Source organism: Homo sapiens, chromosome 4 (genome assembly GCF_000001405.40).
Source record: "Homo sapiens chromosome 4, GRCh38.p14 Primary Assembly".
Lineage (NCBI taxonomy): Eukaryota > Metazoa > Chordata > Mammalia > Primates > Hominidae > Homo > Homo sapiens.
This window is the reverse complement of record NC_000004.12, coordinates 102,975,654-102,993,667: the sequence shown is the minus strand read 5'-3', so window position 1 is coordinate 102,993,667 and position 18,014 is coordinate 102,975,654. Positions and strand designations below refer to the sequence as shown.

At 34.9% G+C, this 18,014-nt stretch overlaps 1 protein-coding gene across 4 annotated transcripts in view; it reads left to right on the top strand.

Moving 5' to 3' along the window:
• The window catches only part of SLC9B1 (solute carrier family 9 member B1), a 134,657-nt gene that overhangs the window by 26,038 nt on the left and 90,605 nt on the right, over positions 1 to 18,014 (top strand). For all 4 annotated transcript variants that reach the window (NR_047515.2, NR_047513.2, NM_001100874.3 and 1 more), the window contains exons 2-3: positions 1,956 to 2,025; positions 3,727 to 3,868. Coding sequence is in view for 2 of the 4 variants with exons in the window: in NM_001100874.3 (NP_001094344.2) it covers positions 1,957 to 2,025; positions 3,727 to 3,868 (211 nt within the window). In the remaining 2 variants the exon portion in view is untranslated. The remainder of the gene's footprint in view (positions 1 to 1,955; positions 2,026 to 3,726; positions 3,869 to 18,014) is intronic.

Sequence of the window (18,014 nt, the reverse complement as noted above, 5' to 3'; positions counted from 1 at the left end):
AAGGAAAAATGTGGGGTTGGAGCCCCCACACAGAGTCCCCACTGGGGCACTACCTGGAGGAGCTGTGAGAAGAGAGCCACCATCCTCCAGACCCCAGAATGGTAGATCCACCAGCAGCTTGCACCATGTGCCTGGAAAAGCAGCAGACCCTCAATGCCAGCCTGTGAAAGCACCAGAGAGTGGGACTGTAACTCTGCAGAGCCACAGGGGCGGAGCTGCCCAAGGCCATGGGAGCCCACCTCTTGCATCAGCGTGACCTGGATGTGCCACATGGAGTAAAAGGAGATCATTATGGAACTTTAAGGTTTACTGATTGCCCTATTGGATTTCGGACTTGCATGGGGTCTGTAGCCTCTTTGTTTTGGCCAATTTCTCCCAGTACCCTCATTGTACCTAGGAAGTAACCAACTTCCTTTCGATTTTATAGGCTCATAGGCAGAAGCGACTTGCCTTGTCTCAGACAAGACTTTGGACTTAGGCTTTTGAGATAATGCTGGAATTAGTTAAGACTTTGGGGGACTGTTGGAAAGGCATAATTGTGTTCTGAAGTGTGAGGACATGAGATTTGGGAGGGGCCGGGGCAGAATGATATGATTTGTCTCTGTCCCCACCCAAATCTCACCTTGAGTTATAACAATCCCCACATGTCATGGGTGGGACAAGGTATAGGTAGCTGGATCTTGTGAGTTAGTCTCAGAAGATCTAATGGTTTTATAAGTGTCTGGCATTTCCCCTACTTGCACTCATTCTCTCTTCTGCCACCCTGTGAAGAGGTCCCCTCCAGTATGATTTTAAGTTTCCTGTGGCCTCCCCAGCCATGTGGAACTGTGAGTCAATTCAACCTCTTTCCTTTATAAATTACCCAGACTCAGGTATCTCTTCATAGCTGCATGAAAATGGACTAATACATCATTCTAATGACAAGATAGTTATTTTGACAGTCACTTCAATCAAAATGGAACTACACTTTAAAGGAATTTAGATCTAAGTTTCTGATCAAAATTTTTAAAGGTTATTTTTTGCTTTAATAATGTTATAAATTCAGTTATGATTCTTTATAGGATTTTATGCAGTAATATTTTACTTCATTATGGTAAGACAATAGATGTAAAGCAGCTAGCATATGGTAGCTACTCAACTGTTAATGTTCCTTTTCGTTAACAATTTTCATTATTAAAATTGTTTTCCTTTTAGAAAAGTATAGATACTTGAAGCACTACAGGATATGGTAATAAGACTATCTAAAAATTAAAACTTGAAATCTTTAGTTTTGTTCTTAACAACAACTCAAAAATTGAGAGAAGATATTTTTAAGAAAAGTTACCCTACTTATATTTGAAGCTAGCAAAGATTACAGAGGAGGTAGAAACAACAGATACTTTAAAATAAAAGTTATAAGTAATTATTATTTTATTCATCTAGTTTATTCTTCTTCAAAATAAAACTTTATAGATATATTTAAATGTTGGACCTACAGATCCTTCAAATGGGCCACATAAAAAGATAGTATGTATCAGTAACTTATAGATGTAGGTATTAATGTAGTTGGTCATATTTCATTTAAAATTTTTCTGGAGTGTTTTATGTAAGAGCATGACAGAAGATAGATTAAATCAACAGTGGATATTAACTCAAACACACCAGTTCAGTGCATAAAATAAATTTCTGCATTTTCTGATACATGATTCTATGATATGGGCCAGCATTATGAACTGTTGAGAAATATTACATTTCTGTATGATAATGGTTTTTAAAACTTATGCATATGGCTTTGGTTAATAATGTTAAAGATGAATATTTGGATCTATGTTGACTATAAAGATATCTGACTTGACTGTGATACAACTTTAGAACAAAAAATCCTTTAAAAAATTAATCCCACTTAACCATGTTTGTTTTCATATGGATTTATAGTCTTGTTTCTTCTTTTAAAGTATTTTTCTTTTAAATCTTAGCATGCATACCACAGAATCAAAAAATGAACATTTGGAGGATGAAAACTTCCAAACATCTACAACTCCTCAGGTAAAAACTTAAAAGTATACTGTAATATATGATATAAAATCAACCTGATCTTAAAATTTATTCCTAATTTACTTATTAGATAGGTTTCTTTTATATATCTGGTTAAAAATGAAAAGTGGTAAATTTTAAAATAGCTAGTTGTAATGGGTCCTAGGAAATGAGCAGAAATAATGAAACAAATGGAAAGGTGTGACTATAGAGCATTTTGGAGCTAAAGAGCACAGATTTTAGGAATAAGAAGAAATGTCGCTTATTATTTCTCACCACATTCAGGGAAAACTCAGTAACTTAAACTAACAGAGGTAAAGATAAGTCTAGATTAATTAAAATGTTGTGCTGTGTGTTTTGAAGAGACCCAAGTTTTTTATTTTTATAGATATATAGAGCAAGTCGTTAGACCTTTTGTTGATCTAGTTTTACTTAGTAATAATTGCTCATAATTAGAATTGTAAATTTCGTATTTTTTTAAAATAGAGATTTCTACAGTTCTTAAGGGTCAAAAAGTCATTTTTAAAAATATTTTAAATATTCACCATTGATTCTAATTATCTGTGAAGAAGTCATCTTAGTCTACATCAGTTTATTACAAATTCTAAAATAATAAAACTTAAAATAATATGGTTTTACTCTACATGACCTTTCACCCACCTTAATAAAAATTCACCATTGTGTCTTTATCCCTTTTATATAGTAACAGAATTTTCAGAAAAAGCCTGCCTCTATACCAGAACTCCAATAGGTTAATTATGATCAGATTTGAAGAACTTTGATCTTAAAGAGCTACATAATTCATTTTTAACCATCAGCTGCCTTGATATCTCTGTCTCCTTAGTCATTACATGTAAAATTCCCTTCCTCAATGTGTCCATGCACTCTAGCCTTTTTATTGTTTCCTGTGATGATAAGATGTTCCCTCTTTCACTCACTCAAAGTATTATCAAGTCACTCAAATTGCTGGCACACACACCCCCACACCCACCCACCCATGACAATCATAAGGCAAATTTGGAGATTTCTACTGCAGAGTTAACTCTACTCTGGTGTTTTGTTGTTGTTATCATTGTTTATGTTTTGTTTTTTACATTGGAAGAAGTTTCTCAATATTCTCACAAACCAAAGATTCCTTTTTTTCAAAATCAGCAGTTTCATAATCAGGCTACCATTAAAAGGCCTGGGAGATTAAGGTATACCCTTGCACTATTTAATATGTTATCTATAAATATTAGTGGAAGCATGCTTGAATTTCCGAAGGCTTGACCTATGTTTTTCTCATTTTTCTTTCAGTTATATAAATTTATCAAATGAGATGAATCCAAGTAAAATTATATTTCACCTCCTTTCTAATTGAGTTGTATTTTCATTTCACAAAAGTTTTGGTGAATAATCTTTGGGATGTATACAGAGGATGGACACTTTTAATTATTGTGCCCAAACTGTAGGCACCTTTATTCAGTATACACAAATGATTGAAAATAGTGGGGACCCAAGTCTATAAAAGGTTCAATCAAGGTACCTTGCAAAATACACTGCTGTTACATCCCCAAACAGCTACTGATATGGAGCATGAATCTTCTTTTGTATCTGTGATTCCTCGCATTGACAGTAATAATATAAATTTAATTCTAAAATTTGGTGGTTTATTTCATTCATAAAATTATACAGAAAGTATGGTTCCTTAAAGATTTTCTTGTTTTACTACAGAGTCTCATTGATCCTAATAATACTGCACAGGAAGAAACTAAAACTGTCTTATCAGATACAGAAGAAATAAAACCACAGACAAAAAAGGAGACATACATTTCTTGTCCTCTAAGAGGAGTATTGAATGTAATTATTACAAATGGTATGTGAAACAAAAAATGTAAATGAAGAGAAGATGAGAAATATGTTTGATAAATATTAAAACATGAGACAACAAAGACACTACTTAATCAATATACTCCAGATCAGATGATCAGCTTTGTTACAAGCAATATGTGAACAAAGAGGAAATATTTTCTTGAATCTTTCAAAGATAAAAACAAAAACAAAATATTGCCTAGGAGGTGTATGTTTTAATATTTGTCATACTTTTTTATGTTAAATTTTTGGGATTAGAAACATCATTGATTAAAGGATTTTATTTAAAACCTACTTTGACATTTAGTTTTAAGTTAGCTAGAAAGAACATTATAATTTTGGAAATAATTATGTTTCTTATTAAAATTGGGCCCTAAGTTTTAAAACAGCAGCAACCTTGTAAAAAGTTGTATAACACTTGCTTTCCCACTACAATTTTAAAGCATAGTGTTGTTGTCAGCAAATACTTATAAAGAGATTTTCTTGTGTATGTTTTTCTAAATATTCTGTTTGATTAAACCTATGAGAGAAAGAGATTTTGGCTTCCAGAAGTATATAGAATTTTGTTCCCTATAGAGAACAAAAAATTGATTAAAAATGATGAAGCACAAGTAATTGAAGTTTTAAATTTTTATTTTCTTATTTGCTGCTTGCTAACTTTAAACTTTTGAAGCAAATTTTATTCATTGATTTTTTTCATTAGTAAAGGTTGCTTTTTAATTTACGTCAGTATATTGATGGCCTTGAATCAAAGTTTTCTGTGAACTTGAATAGTCCTCATCTGCCAGTGTAAGTGATTGGACTCCTTTGTAAATATACATATGTTCCCATGACTTGGTCTATTTAGTAGGCCATTTCTACAAAGCAGTTATTAGGAGTAGGGCCAGGGTCTGTGGAAGAGAGGGAAATGTATTATTTACCAAAATTATTCACTGAGTGTGGACTACAGTTTGCTCAGGAACTAATTGAGGAGTTCTAGAACATCAGAACTAAAACTGCAGGTTTAGATATAACTCATTTCCCCCTTTGTTTTCTTTCATTTTTGATTTTGCAGTTTTGGAGACATTTATAGGAAAAGGAGATTTTCTGTGTTTCTATTTAGGGGTGCATATTCTTGCACTCTCTTTTTTGAAATCAATCTCTCTCTGTTTGTCCCTCTCTCTCAACACACTCCCTACATTCACACTGTTTCCTTTATACACAAAGTATAGAATCTCAATCTCTGGGTATGCTTAGAACATGCCACTGTTAGTAATCCCACTCTGCCGCATCATGGAATAAGTAATGTACAACCATGTGTAAGCAGAATGAAACAACAAAATAATTTCTTAAAACTGCATAGAGTTTGGATAATAAAAGGAAATAGAACAACATGTTTTTCTATAAATAATAGTTAATTCACCAATACCACATGTGTACAAGTTAAATTTAAATAAGAAATCTAAACTCTCAAATGCACACAGAAATCAGTCTCATCACATTTAATATCATACTGTTTGCATACCTCATTTGGGGAATGGCTTGCTTCATCCCAAATAAATGGATAGTCTAGGACAGTAGATTTAGAGCTTAAGATATTATTCCTTTTTGTTTCTTTTCAGCCTACTTTTAACAAAAATGCTAATATATTTTTATGAAGCTTTTTTTCTTTAAATGAATTAAAGTTTTCTTGTATGTCCAACTATGATTTTTAAGTAATCTTGGGGACAGAACTTCTCCATTAAAATTTTATTATCAGTTTTATGAAGTTAGCAGTCTTGGAAATTTAAGGTTCAAAAATAATATCCCAGAGACTTCCAGTTTCCAGTTCTACACGTAAGGAGATTAGAAGTCATCACTCTGTCCTAAAAACAAATAAAAAGCTGAAGAAACTGAAAAATCAACAATTCTTCTTAAATCCATCAGAGAAGTGAGTCACAGGGCAAACTGCTGCCCAAAAAATAGGAGTGATTAGACAGATTCAGAGAATCATAACTTACAGGAATGAAAACCTCTTTGGGAACCAGGAGCAGGGTACAAAAACCTGAATTGTAATTTAAAACTTGGCTAAAGCTCTGTGTGGAAAAGTCGAGGAGGTCCCCAATTATGGGATGGGAGAGGCCCACACTTTTTTAAGTTTTACCTTCTGCAGCCAACCAGCAGGAGGAGAGGGAAAGTATCAAGGAAAGAGGAGGGTAACCATTGTGAAATATACCACAGTATTCTGTTCTTCTTACAAAGTCTGCCCCCCAAAAAAAAATTTTTTATCAGAGCCTAACCTACACATGTTTTTATCAGAGCCTAACCAACTTAGATCTGATGGATCTAAGAAGAGTTGTTGATTTTTCAGTTTCTTCAGCTTTTTATTTGTTTTTAGGACAGAGTGATGACTTCTAATATCCTTACATGTAGAAATGGAAACTGGAAGTCTCTGGGATGTTATTTTTGATCTAAACTTCCAAGACTGCTAACTTCATAAAAACTGATAGTAAGATTTTAATGGAGAAGTTCTGTTCCCAACTCTAGTCAGCCTCCTCTAGCCTTCCACATAGTTGAAGGAAAATATCCAACTCTGGCCTCCTCTAACCATCCTGCACCAACTAAGGGAGTGAAAAAAACCAGAAAAGCATTTTTTGACATTCACAGCTCAGAGGCACAGGCCTACTAAAAGACTGAGATCTAGTGATAGAACTATAGAATTTTCTCCCCACCCCCAACACACACACCTTATCACCACATTACTAAAGTCTTACTTACCACAGGTCCTTTTACTCAGTACATCATGTTTATCTTTCAACTAAAATTTACAACGTGTATTAAAAGGCAAAAAACACAGTTTAAAGAAATGGAGCAAACATCAGAACCAGACTCATATATGGAGGGTATATTGGAATTATCAGACTGTGAATTTAAAAGTTATGTTAAATATGCTAAGATCTCTAACGGAAAAAAATAGAAAACATGTAAGAACAGATGAGTATTATAAACAGGATGAAAATTGTAAGAAAGAGATGCCAGATATCAAAAACACTGTAACAAATGAAGAATGCCTTTGATGGGCTTATTAGTAGGCTGGACAAAGCTGAGAAAGAATCTCCGGGCTTGAGAATATGCCAGTAGAAACTTCTAAAACTGAAAAGCAAAGAGAAAAAAATACTGAACAACAATGAAACAGAATATCCAAGAATTGTGGGGTCACTACAAAAGGTGTAACATACATGAAATGGGAATATCAAAAGGAAAAGGAAGACAGAAAGGAATAGAAGACATAATTGAAGCCATAATGACTAGGAATTTCCACAAATGAATGTCAAGCACCAAGTCACAGATTCTGGAAGCCCAGAAAAGACCAAACAGGGTAAATGTCCAAACAGACTACACCTAGCCATATCATATTCAAACTTCAGAAAAGTCAAAGATAAAGAAAAAATCTTGAAAGAAGACAGAGGTAAAACTACCCATAAAAGAGCAAAGGTAAGAATTACATCCAACTTCTCATCAGAAACCATGGAAGCAAGAATAGAGTGGCATGAAATATTTAAAATGTTGAGAGAGAGAAAAAAAAAAAAACAACACCAGCCTTAGAATTCTGTATCCTGTGAAACTGTCCTTGAAAAGTGAAGGAGAAACAAAGACTTTCACAGATAAACAAAAATTGAAGAACTTTTGTGCCAGTTGACTTGGCTTGCAAGAGATGTTAAAAGATGGTCTTCAGAGAGAAGGAAAATGATGTAGATCAGAAACTCACATCTATGTAAAAAAGGAAGAATATTCGAAAGGAAATACACAAAGATAAAATTTTTTAAATTCTTAATTTATCTAATAGATAACAATTTGTTCAAATTAATAATAGCAATAATGTATTTATGACTATAGCTTATGTTTAAGGGAAATGAATGAGAGCAATAATACAAGAAATGGGAGGGAGGAATTAGAAATATTATTATAAAGTGTTTGCTCTACCTATAAAGCCATATAGTATTATTTGAAAGTGGACTTTGACCAGGCACAGTGGCTCACACCTGTAATCCCAGCACTTTGGGAGGTGGAGGTGGGTGGATCACTTGAGGTCAGGAGTTTGAGACCAACCTGGCCAACATGGTGAAGCCCTGTCTCTACTAAAAATACAAAAAATTAGCCGGGCATGGTGGCAGGCACCTGTAATCCCAGCTACTCAAGATGCTGAGGCAGGAGAATTGCTTGAACCCAGGAGACGGAGGTTGCAGTGAGCCGAGATCACACCGCTGCACTCCAGCCTGGGCAAAAGAAGGAAGAAAAAAAAAAAGAAAAGAAAATGGATTTGTATTAGTTGTAAACGCATGTTGTAAGCTCTCAGGCAACCATTACAAAAATTTATAAAGAAGTATAATTGATATGCTAACAGAAAATTGAATCATATAAAATGCTCAATTAAAACCACAAAAGGCAGGAAAAGAATGGAAGACAAAAGTAGGAACAAAGAAGGGCAATGAATAGCAAAGAGGAACAAGCATGATTGATATTAACCCAAATATATCAATAATCACTTTAAATGTCAATGGTCTAAATACACTAGGTAAAATACAGAGATTGCTAGAGTGGGTCAAAAATAAGACCGAACTATGTGTTTTTTACAAGATACATATTGATTAAGGAAAGAGATGGAGAATGATATTCCATTCTAACACTAATAAAAAGAAAGTTAAATTAGCTATATTAATTTCAGACAGCAGACTTCCAGCAATGAGTGTTATCAGGAATAAAGTGGAGCATTACATAATAATAAAAGGGTTAATTTTTCAAAAAGACATGACAATCCTTAATGTATTTGTGCCTAACAAAAGAATATTAAAATACGTGAGTCAAGCCAGGCTCATTGGTATGCATCTTTAGTCCCAGCTACTCTGGAGGCTGAATAGGAGGATTGCTTAAGCCCAGGAGGCCAGCCTGGGGAACATAGCCAGACCCTTTTTCTTAAAAAAAGAACACATGAGTTAAAAACTGGCAAAACTATAAGGAGAAAGAGATAACTTTCATTTTTCTAGTTGGAACTTTAACACCTGTCTATCCGAAATGGACAGAGACAGCAGGCAAAAATTCAATAAAGACATAGTTGAACTCAACAGTATCATCAGTCAACTGGATATAATTGACATTTATAGACTACTTCATCCCAAAAGAGCAAAATACAAATTCTGCTCCGGCTAATATGGAACATTCACCAAGACAGACTATATCCTGAGCCATAAAACATACCTTAATAAATTTGAAAGGATGCAATCTCTGCTCTCAGACCACAATGAATTTTAACTAAAAATCAGTAACAGAAAAACAGCTTTAACATCCCGAAATACTTAAAGATTAAACAACACACTTCTAGATAACACCAAATCAAAGAACTCTCAAGAGAAAGGTAAAAATACTTTGAACAGCCAGACATGTTGGCTCACACCTGTAATCCCAGTACTCTGCTAGGCCGAGGCAGGCAGATTACTTGAGCTCAGGAGTTTGAGACCAGCCTGGCAACATGATGAAGCCCTGTCTCTACAAAGAAATATAAAAATTAGCTGAGTGTGGTGACGCATGCCTGTAGTCTCAGCTACTTGGGAGGCTGAGGTGGGAAGATTGCTTACCCCAGGAGGCAGAGGCTATAATGAGCCAAGATCACACCACTGTATTTCAGTGTGGGTGACAGAGTGAGACTCTGTCTCAATAAAATAAAATAAAATAATAAAAAATACAAGTACTTTGAACAAAATGAAAATACTACTTATCAAAATTTATGGGATGCAGCAAAAGCAATGAGTAGAAGGAAACTTATAGCATTTGATAATATTTCTTAATAGAAAAAAAGAAAGATCTAAAATGAATAAATTAAGCTTCCACCTCAGGAAGCTAGAAAGAAAAGAGCTAATTGAGTTCAAAGTAAGCAGAAGAAAAAAAGTAATATAATTTAGAGTAGATATCAGTACAATTAAAAACAGGAAATCAATAAATTCAATGAAACAAAAACCTGGTTCTTTGAAAAGATCAACACAATTGATAAGCCTTTAGCCAAACTAACTAAGAAAAATATGAGAGAAGACACACATTACTTATATCAGAAATAAAAGAGAAGACATTGCTACAGATCCCATGGGCATTAAAAGGATAATAAAGTAATACTATGAACAACTTTATTCCCACAAATTCAATAACCTAGATAAAAAGGACCAATTCCTTGAAAGACACAATCTGCCAAAACTCAGAAGAGGAAGTGGATAATATGAATAGGCCTATAACTATTAAAGAAATTGAATCAGTGTTTCTTTCCAAAACAGAATGTACTGGGCCCAGGTGGATTCGCTGATAAATTCTACAAAACATTTAAGGATGAAATTATACAATTTTCTCAGCTATTTCTAGAAGACATAAGCAGAAGGAATACTTTCCAATTTATTCTATAAGGTCAGCATTCCTAATATCAAAATCTGGCAAAAACATTATAGAACCAATATCTACAGACCAATATCTCTCATGCACATAGATGCAAAAATTCTTAACAAAGTATTAACAAATTGAATTAAACAGCATATAAAAAGGATACACCATGACCATGACCAAGTGGGATTTATCCCAGATATATGAGATTAGTTCATCATTCAAAAATTAAGTAATGTAATCCATCACATCAACAGGCTAAGGAAGAAAAATCACATGATCATATCAGTAGATGCAGAAAGGTATCTGACAAAATCCAATGCCCAATCATGATTAAAAATAAAAAACTATCAGCAAGCTAGAATAGAGTGGAAACTTCCTCAACTGCATAAAAACTATCTACTAAAATCCTACAGGTAACATTGTACTCATTGGTGAAAAACTAGAAGCTTTTCTTCTAGATCAGTAACAAGGTAAGGATGCCTCCTCTTACCACTTCTTTTCAACATTGTACTGGAAGTCCAACTAATGAATTATGACAAGGAAAGTAAATAAAAGGTATACAGGTTAGGAAGGAAGAAATAAATTTGTCTTTGTTTACAGATAAGATGATTGTATCGGTAAAAATTCTAAAAGAATCATGTAAAAAAAACTCCTGGAACAACTACTAAGTGAGTAAGATGGCAGGTACAAGATTAATATACAAAAGTCAATTGTTTTCCTATGTGCCACAGTGAACAAATGGAATTTGAAATTAAAAACAGCACCATTTACATTAGCACCACAAAAATTAACATCTTAGATATATGTCTAACAAAAATATATACAAGATCTATTTGAGTAATAACTATAAAACTCTGATGAAATAAATAAAAGAACTAAATAAATTGAGAAATATTTTATGTTCATGAAAGACTAGTATTGTCAGATGTCAGTACTTCCTAACTTGATTCAATGCAATCCCAATCAAAATTCCTGAAAGTTATTTTGTGGATATGAACAAATTTATTTAAAAATTTGTTTGGGCAGGCAAAAGACCCAGAAAAGCCAACTCGACATTGAAAGAGAGAAACAAAATCAGAGAACTGACATTACCCAACTTCAAGACTTACTGTAAAGCTACGATAATCAGGACAATGTGGTATTGGTAAAAGACTAGACAAAGAGATCAATCAAACAGAATAGAGTCCAGAAATAGACCCACAAAAATATTGTCAACTGATCTTTGACAAAGGAATAAAGGCAATACAATGGAGCAAACATAATCTTTTCAACTATACATCATGACAAAACATATGGACCTCCACATGGATGCAAAAAAAAAAAGGAATCTATACATAGACCTTAAAACTTTCCACAAAATTACCTCGAAACATATCATAGACTTGAATGTAAAACACAGATCTATAAATGTAGATGGTAACATAGAAAATCTAGATGACCTTTGGTATGGTAATGAGTTTTAGGTATAATATCAAAGGCACACTCCATGAAAGAAATAATAGATAAACTTGATTTCCTTAACATTAAAATGTATGTTCTTCCATGCTGTTCCCTTCTGTGAAAGAGAAGGGAAAAAAATCTATGCTCTGTGGAATACACTTTCAAGAGAATGAAAAGACAAGCAACAGATTGGAAGAAAATATTTGCAAAGGACATATTTGATAAAGACTGTTATCAAAATATAAAAAGAACTCTAAAACTTCACCAAAAAGAAAACAAACAACCAGATTAAAAAATGAACACAACACTGCAACAGGAACCTCACGAAATAAGATATACAGATGGCAAGTAAGCTTATGAAAAGATGCTCAACATGATAGGTCATTAGGTAATTGTAAATTAACACAACAGTGAGAGACCACTACACACCTATTAGGATGGCCATAATCCAAAACACTGACACCACTAAATCTTGGCAAGGGTACGGAGCAACAGGAACTTTCATTCATTGCAGGTGGGAGTTGTACAAACTGTACAGCCCCTTTGGATGATAGTTTGGCAGTTTCTTGCAAAAATAAAAAGACTTACCATACAATCCAGCAATTACACTCCTTGATATTTACCCAAATGAGCTGAAAACTTAAGTCCGCACAAAAACCTGCACATAAACATGGATGTTTATGGCAACCTTATTGATAATTATCAAAATTCAGAAGCAATCAAAATGTCTTTCATTAGGTGAGTGAATAAATAAACTGTGGTACATCTAGAAAGTGGAATATTATTCAATACTGAAAAGAAATGACCTATCAAGCAATGAGACAACTTGGAGTAAACTTAAATGCATGTTTCTAAGTGAAAGAAGCCAATCTGAAATAGCTACATTCTGTGCGAGTCCAACTATATGACATTCTAACAGGGGCAAAACTATGGACACAGTAAAAAGATCAGTGGTTGTCAGGAATTGAGAGGAGGGAGGGATGAGCAGGCAGAGCCCAGAGGATTTTTAGGGCAGTGAAACTATTTTGTATGATATTATAATGATGGAAATATGTCATTATACATTTGTTAAAAGCCATAGAACATACAAACCCAAGAGGGAACCTAATGTAAACTCTGAACTTTGGGTGACCATGATGTGTTAATATAGGTTTATCAATTCTAACAAATGGACCACTCTGGTGTGGAATGTTGGTCATAGAGGAAGTGTGTGGGAGCCGGGATTTTTTTTTCATCAACTTTTATTTTAAGTTCCAGGGTACATATGCAGGATGTGCAGGTTTGTTACATGGGTAAACATGTGCGATGGTGGTTTGCTGCACAGATCAATCCATCACCTAGGTATTAAGCTCAGCATCCATTAGCTATTCTTCCTAATGCTCTCCGTCCCTCAACCCCCTCAACAAGCCCCAGTGTGTGTTGTTCCCCCCATGTGTTCTCATCATTCAGCTCCCACATATAAGTGAAAACATGTGTTATTTGGTTTTCTGTTTCTGCATTAGTTTGCTGAAGATAACAGCTTCCAGCTCCATCCATGTCCCTGCAAAGGACACGATCTCATTCCTTTTTATGGCTGCATAGTATCCATGGTATATGTACCACATTTTCTTTATGCAGTCTATCATTGATGGGCATTTATGTTGATTCCACATCTTTTTTATTGTGAATAGTGCTGCAGTGAACATCCATGTGCATGTGTCTTCATAATAGAATGATTTATATTCCTTTGGGTATATACCCAGTAATGGGATTGCTGGGTCAAATGGTATTTCTGCTCCTGGATCTTTGAGGAATTGCCACACTGTCTTCTACAATGGTTGAACTAATGTAAATTCCCACCAACAGTGTAAAAGTGTTTCTTTTTCTCTGAACATCACCAGCATTTGTTGTTTTTTGACTTTTTAATAATCACCATTCTGACTGGCATAAGATGGTAAATCATTGTGGTTTTGATTTGCATTTCTCTAATGATCAGTGAGGTTGAGCTTTTTTTCATACGTTTGCTGGCTGCATAAATGTCTTCTTTCGAGAAGTGTCTGCTCATGTCCTTTACCCACTTTTTAATGGGGTTGTTTGTTTTTTTTCTTGTAAATTTGTTTAACTTCCTTGTGGACTCTGGATATTAGACCTTTATCAGATGGATAGATTGCAAAAATTTTCTCCCATTCTGTAGGTTGTAGAGAGCGGGGATTTTTGAGATCTCTCTGTAATCTCTGCTCAATTTTGCTGTGAGCCTAAAACTGCTCTAAAAAATAAAGCCTATTAAAAATACAATAATATCCACATTCCTTCTGGGTTATAGTCAGTAGAGAACAGACACTAAGGAGCCAAGTGGGGATGAACATAGTTCCATTAGTGGAGGGCCAGTGCTTCCCCCAAGTAAGATCTCCTTGGAAAAATGGAGTAAACATAAGGCTTCTCCATAGATCGTGTCTCCTCCTGTCTGGAAAGCTGATCCTTCAGAGCAGACTTTGAGTACGCAGTTAACTATGAGGAAGGACTTGCCTCAAAAACACTATCATGAGCAGACTGGAGTTCACTAGAGGCTGGAGAAGAGAAATGGATGCCTTTTAGAGGGGTCCTGACCCACATGTGTTTACTACTGAGAATAACAAATGAAAAGAGGAGAGTTTACTCATCCAAACAATGCAAAACAGACAGAGGAATGGATTTCTCACTTTTGAGGCAAAAGAAACCTACCTACTGATTCTAGGATATGGCTCAATAACTATGAGGTTCTCACCAATCAGGTTAACTACTTACTATTCCAATCTTGGCAAAGAGCAAATAGGAAATGAAAAGAGTTGAAAACGTTTGTCTCTAACATCAATGAACTTGAGAAGGGTTTTCACCTACAGTTTTACATTATAATGCTTTTTTATTCCCCAAGAAGTCATCCATTCAATTAAGTATGTTTGCTCAGTGGTTTTTACCCTGTCATAAGTAGAACTATTTATGCAGTTGCTCTCTGTAACACCTTTCACAGCATCATATTTAAAAAGCTTTTAATAATGAGTATAACCATGTACGGTAAATTAAGAAACCAGAAAGCTAACCATATCAATAAATACTAGAGAGCAAATAAAAAGTTTTAGAGCATTTATTTTAGAAAAGTTTTGTAGTATTATCCTAAAAATAAGAACACGTTTTTAATCCTTTGGTTATATACCCAGTAATGGGATTGCCGGGTCAAATGGTATTTCTAGTTCTAGATCCCTGAGGAATCGCCACACTGACTTCCATAATGGTTGAACTAGTTTACACTCCCACCAACAGTGTAAAAGTGTTCCTATTTCTCCACATCCTCTCCAGCACCTGTTGTTTCCTGACTTTTTAATGATCACCATTCTAACTGGTGTGAGATGGTATCTCATCGTGGTTTCGATTTGCATTTCTTTGATGGCCAGTGATATTGAGCATTTTTTCATGTGTCTTTTGGCTGCATAAATGTCTTCTTTTGAGAAGTCTGTTCATATCCTTCGCCCACTGGTTGATGGGATTGTTTGTTTTTTTCTTATAAATTTGTTTGAGTTCATTGTAGATTCTGGATATCAGCCCTTTGTCAGATGAGTAGATTGCAAAAATTTTCTCCCATTCTGTAGGTTGCCTGTTCACTCTGATGGTAGTTTCTTTTGCTGTGCAGAAGCTTTTTAGTTTAATTAGATCCCATTTAAGGATTATAAATCATGCTGCTATAAAGACACATGCACACGTATGTTTATTGCGGCGCTATTCACAATAGCAAAGACTTGGAACCAAGCCAAATGTCCAACAATGATAGACTGGATTAAGAAAATGTGGCACATATACACCATGGAATACTATGCAGCCATAAAAAATGATGAGTTCATGTCGTTTGTAGGGACATGGATGAAGCTGGAAACCATCATTCTCAGCAAACTATCGCAAGGACAAAAAACCAAACACCTCTTATTCTCACTCTTAGATGGGAATTGAACAGTGAGAACACATGGACACAGGAAGGGGAACATCACACACCAGGGATGGTTGTGGGGTGGGTGTAGTGGGGAGGGATAGCATTAGGAGATACACCTAATGTTAAATGACGAGTTAATGGGTGCAGCACAACAACATGGCACATGTATACATATGTAACTAACCTGCATATTGTGCACATGTACCCTAAAACTTAAAGTATAATAATAAAAAAAGAATATGTTTTTAAAAATTTGTAACTTCTCATAGACTATATATTTTTAAAACTCTAGCTGTCCCATATTAATTGCTTAGCCATATACTGCACCCAGCTGGGGCTCTGAGAATGGCACATTGAAAAGAATTATTAGGGACAAGAAATTTTTCTGGTTGTTAGAAAAAAATTGTACTAGTGTTCTAAAAGTTCATAATTAAAGTATTCCCAAAAACGTTCTCAACATTGGTGTTTAGGTGCTCTCCTGAAGTAACATTAATTTAGATACATCAAAATGTCATTTACTCAGCAAACATTTATTGAATACCTATAAGGTTCTGTTTGCCAGGGAGCTAAAACAAAATATCTACCCTCAACTACAAGCATAATAATAAATTATTTAACCAGAATCCTGTTTGTAATTCTCTTAAGGTCACTTACACCAGTGTAGTCAAAAGTATCTTCATCTTCTCACTAGAAAACTCTGCTCCTCTTGTTCTTCTTCCTTTTTTTCTGTTTTTTTTTTTTTTTTTTTAAGTTATAATATTGTCTCAGTTATACAGCCTAGAGAGCTCATAAGCATCTTTGACTTGGCCTTTTTTCTTCATGCTGTTATTCAGTTTGTTTATAAGCCCTATCAATTCCACTTCCATAATATTTCTCTCTTTTTTTTTCTTTTTTTGGAGGCAGAGTCTCACTCTGTTGCCCAGGCTGCAGTACAGTGGCACCATCACAACTCACTGCAACCTTGACTTCCTGGGCTCAAGTGATCCTCCTGCCTCAGCCTACTGAGTAGCTGGGACTGCAGGCACATGTCACCATATCTGGATAATTTTTAAAATTTTTTGTAGAGACAGCATTGCCCTGAGTTTCCCAGGCTGGTCTTCAACTTCTGGGCTCAAGCCATCTTCCAGCCTTGGCCTCCCAAAGTTCTGGGATTACAGATAATAAGCCATTGCACCCAGCCCATAACATTTCTTATGTTTATTTTACTCCTAAAGTTTAGCAAAGCATTCAAGACACTTCATGTTTCAATTATGAATTTTCTTTCCACTCTCACCTGCCAAAATATCTCACTTCATCCGGACAAATTTACTTACCTCTCAATGTGCTCTTGACTTCACGTTGCTATATCTGTGTCCATCCTATCCCTTAACTTACCATGTCCTTATCTTTGCCTATTGAAATTTCATCTTTCAAGAACCTATGATTTTTTTCCAGATTTTCCAGTTTTACTTTGGCACTTATGCCATTTTAATTTGTACAACATTTCTGTCTTTTTTATTAAATTAATTGTAAGTTCCTTCAAAGCAGGTATTAGCTCTTTATGACTGGGACCTATCCTTGCATATAGTCTTTCAGAAACCATTTATTAAATTAGCTAATGCAATATAAATTAGTTATTGCTTCAAATGAGATGTCATGAAAACTATTGATGACTGTTAAGAAATGATAATATCTTTGAATTTCAGAAGAGACTTAATTTCTTGATTTTAAAGTAGAAGTTCAAAGTAAATCAATACTGATATCTACATTCAAGACCTAGAATATTACGTAGGCTAGTAAATGTTATCCTTCATCTCTGGAGTATGAAAACGACCGTAACTGGTGAAATTGCTGGGGTTTATCTGACTAAGTGTATTAACCAAATCCAGTGAACGTTTCTGTCTGCATCGTATTCAAGATCTTTCCAGCTTTTGACACCAATGATCACTCTCTTATTGAAACACTTGTCTTTTTTTTCTAATTCTGAGGCACCAACTGGTTTTCTTCTTCCCTCACTGCTTCTTCCTTTCTTGTCTTCCATATTCCATTCTTCTTTTCCTAACTTCTAAATACCAAATATCACTCAGGACTTAGACCTGGGCCTTTTCCTCTTTTCTTTTTATATAGTTTTTCTATGTGGTCTCATCAATGTCCAAGATATCATATTTATGCATGTGACCTTCTAATTTAAACATTATCTGGCCAGGCGTGGTAGTTCACACCTGTAATCCCAGCACTTTGGGGGCTGAGGCGGGCAGATCACCTGAGGTTGGGAGTTCAAACCAGCCTGGCCAACATGGTGAAACCCCATCTCTACTAAAAAATACAAAATTAGCCAGACATCATGGCATGCACCTGTAGTCCCAGCTACTCAAGAGGCTGAGGCAGGAGAATCGCTTGATCCCCAGGAGGC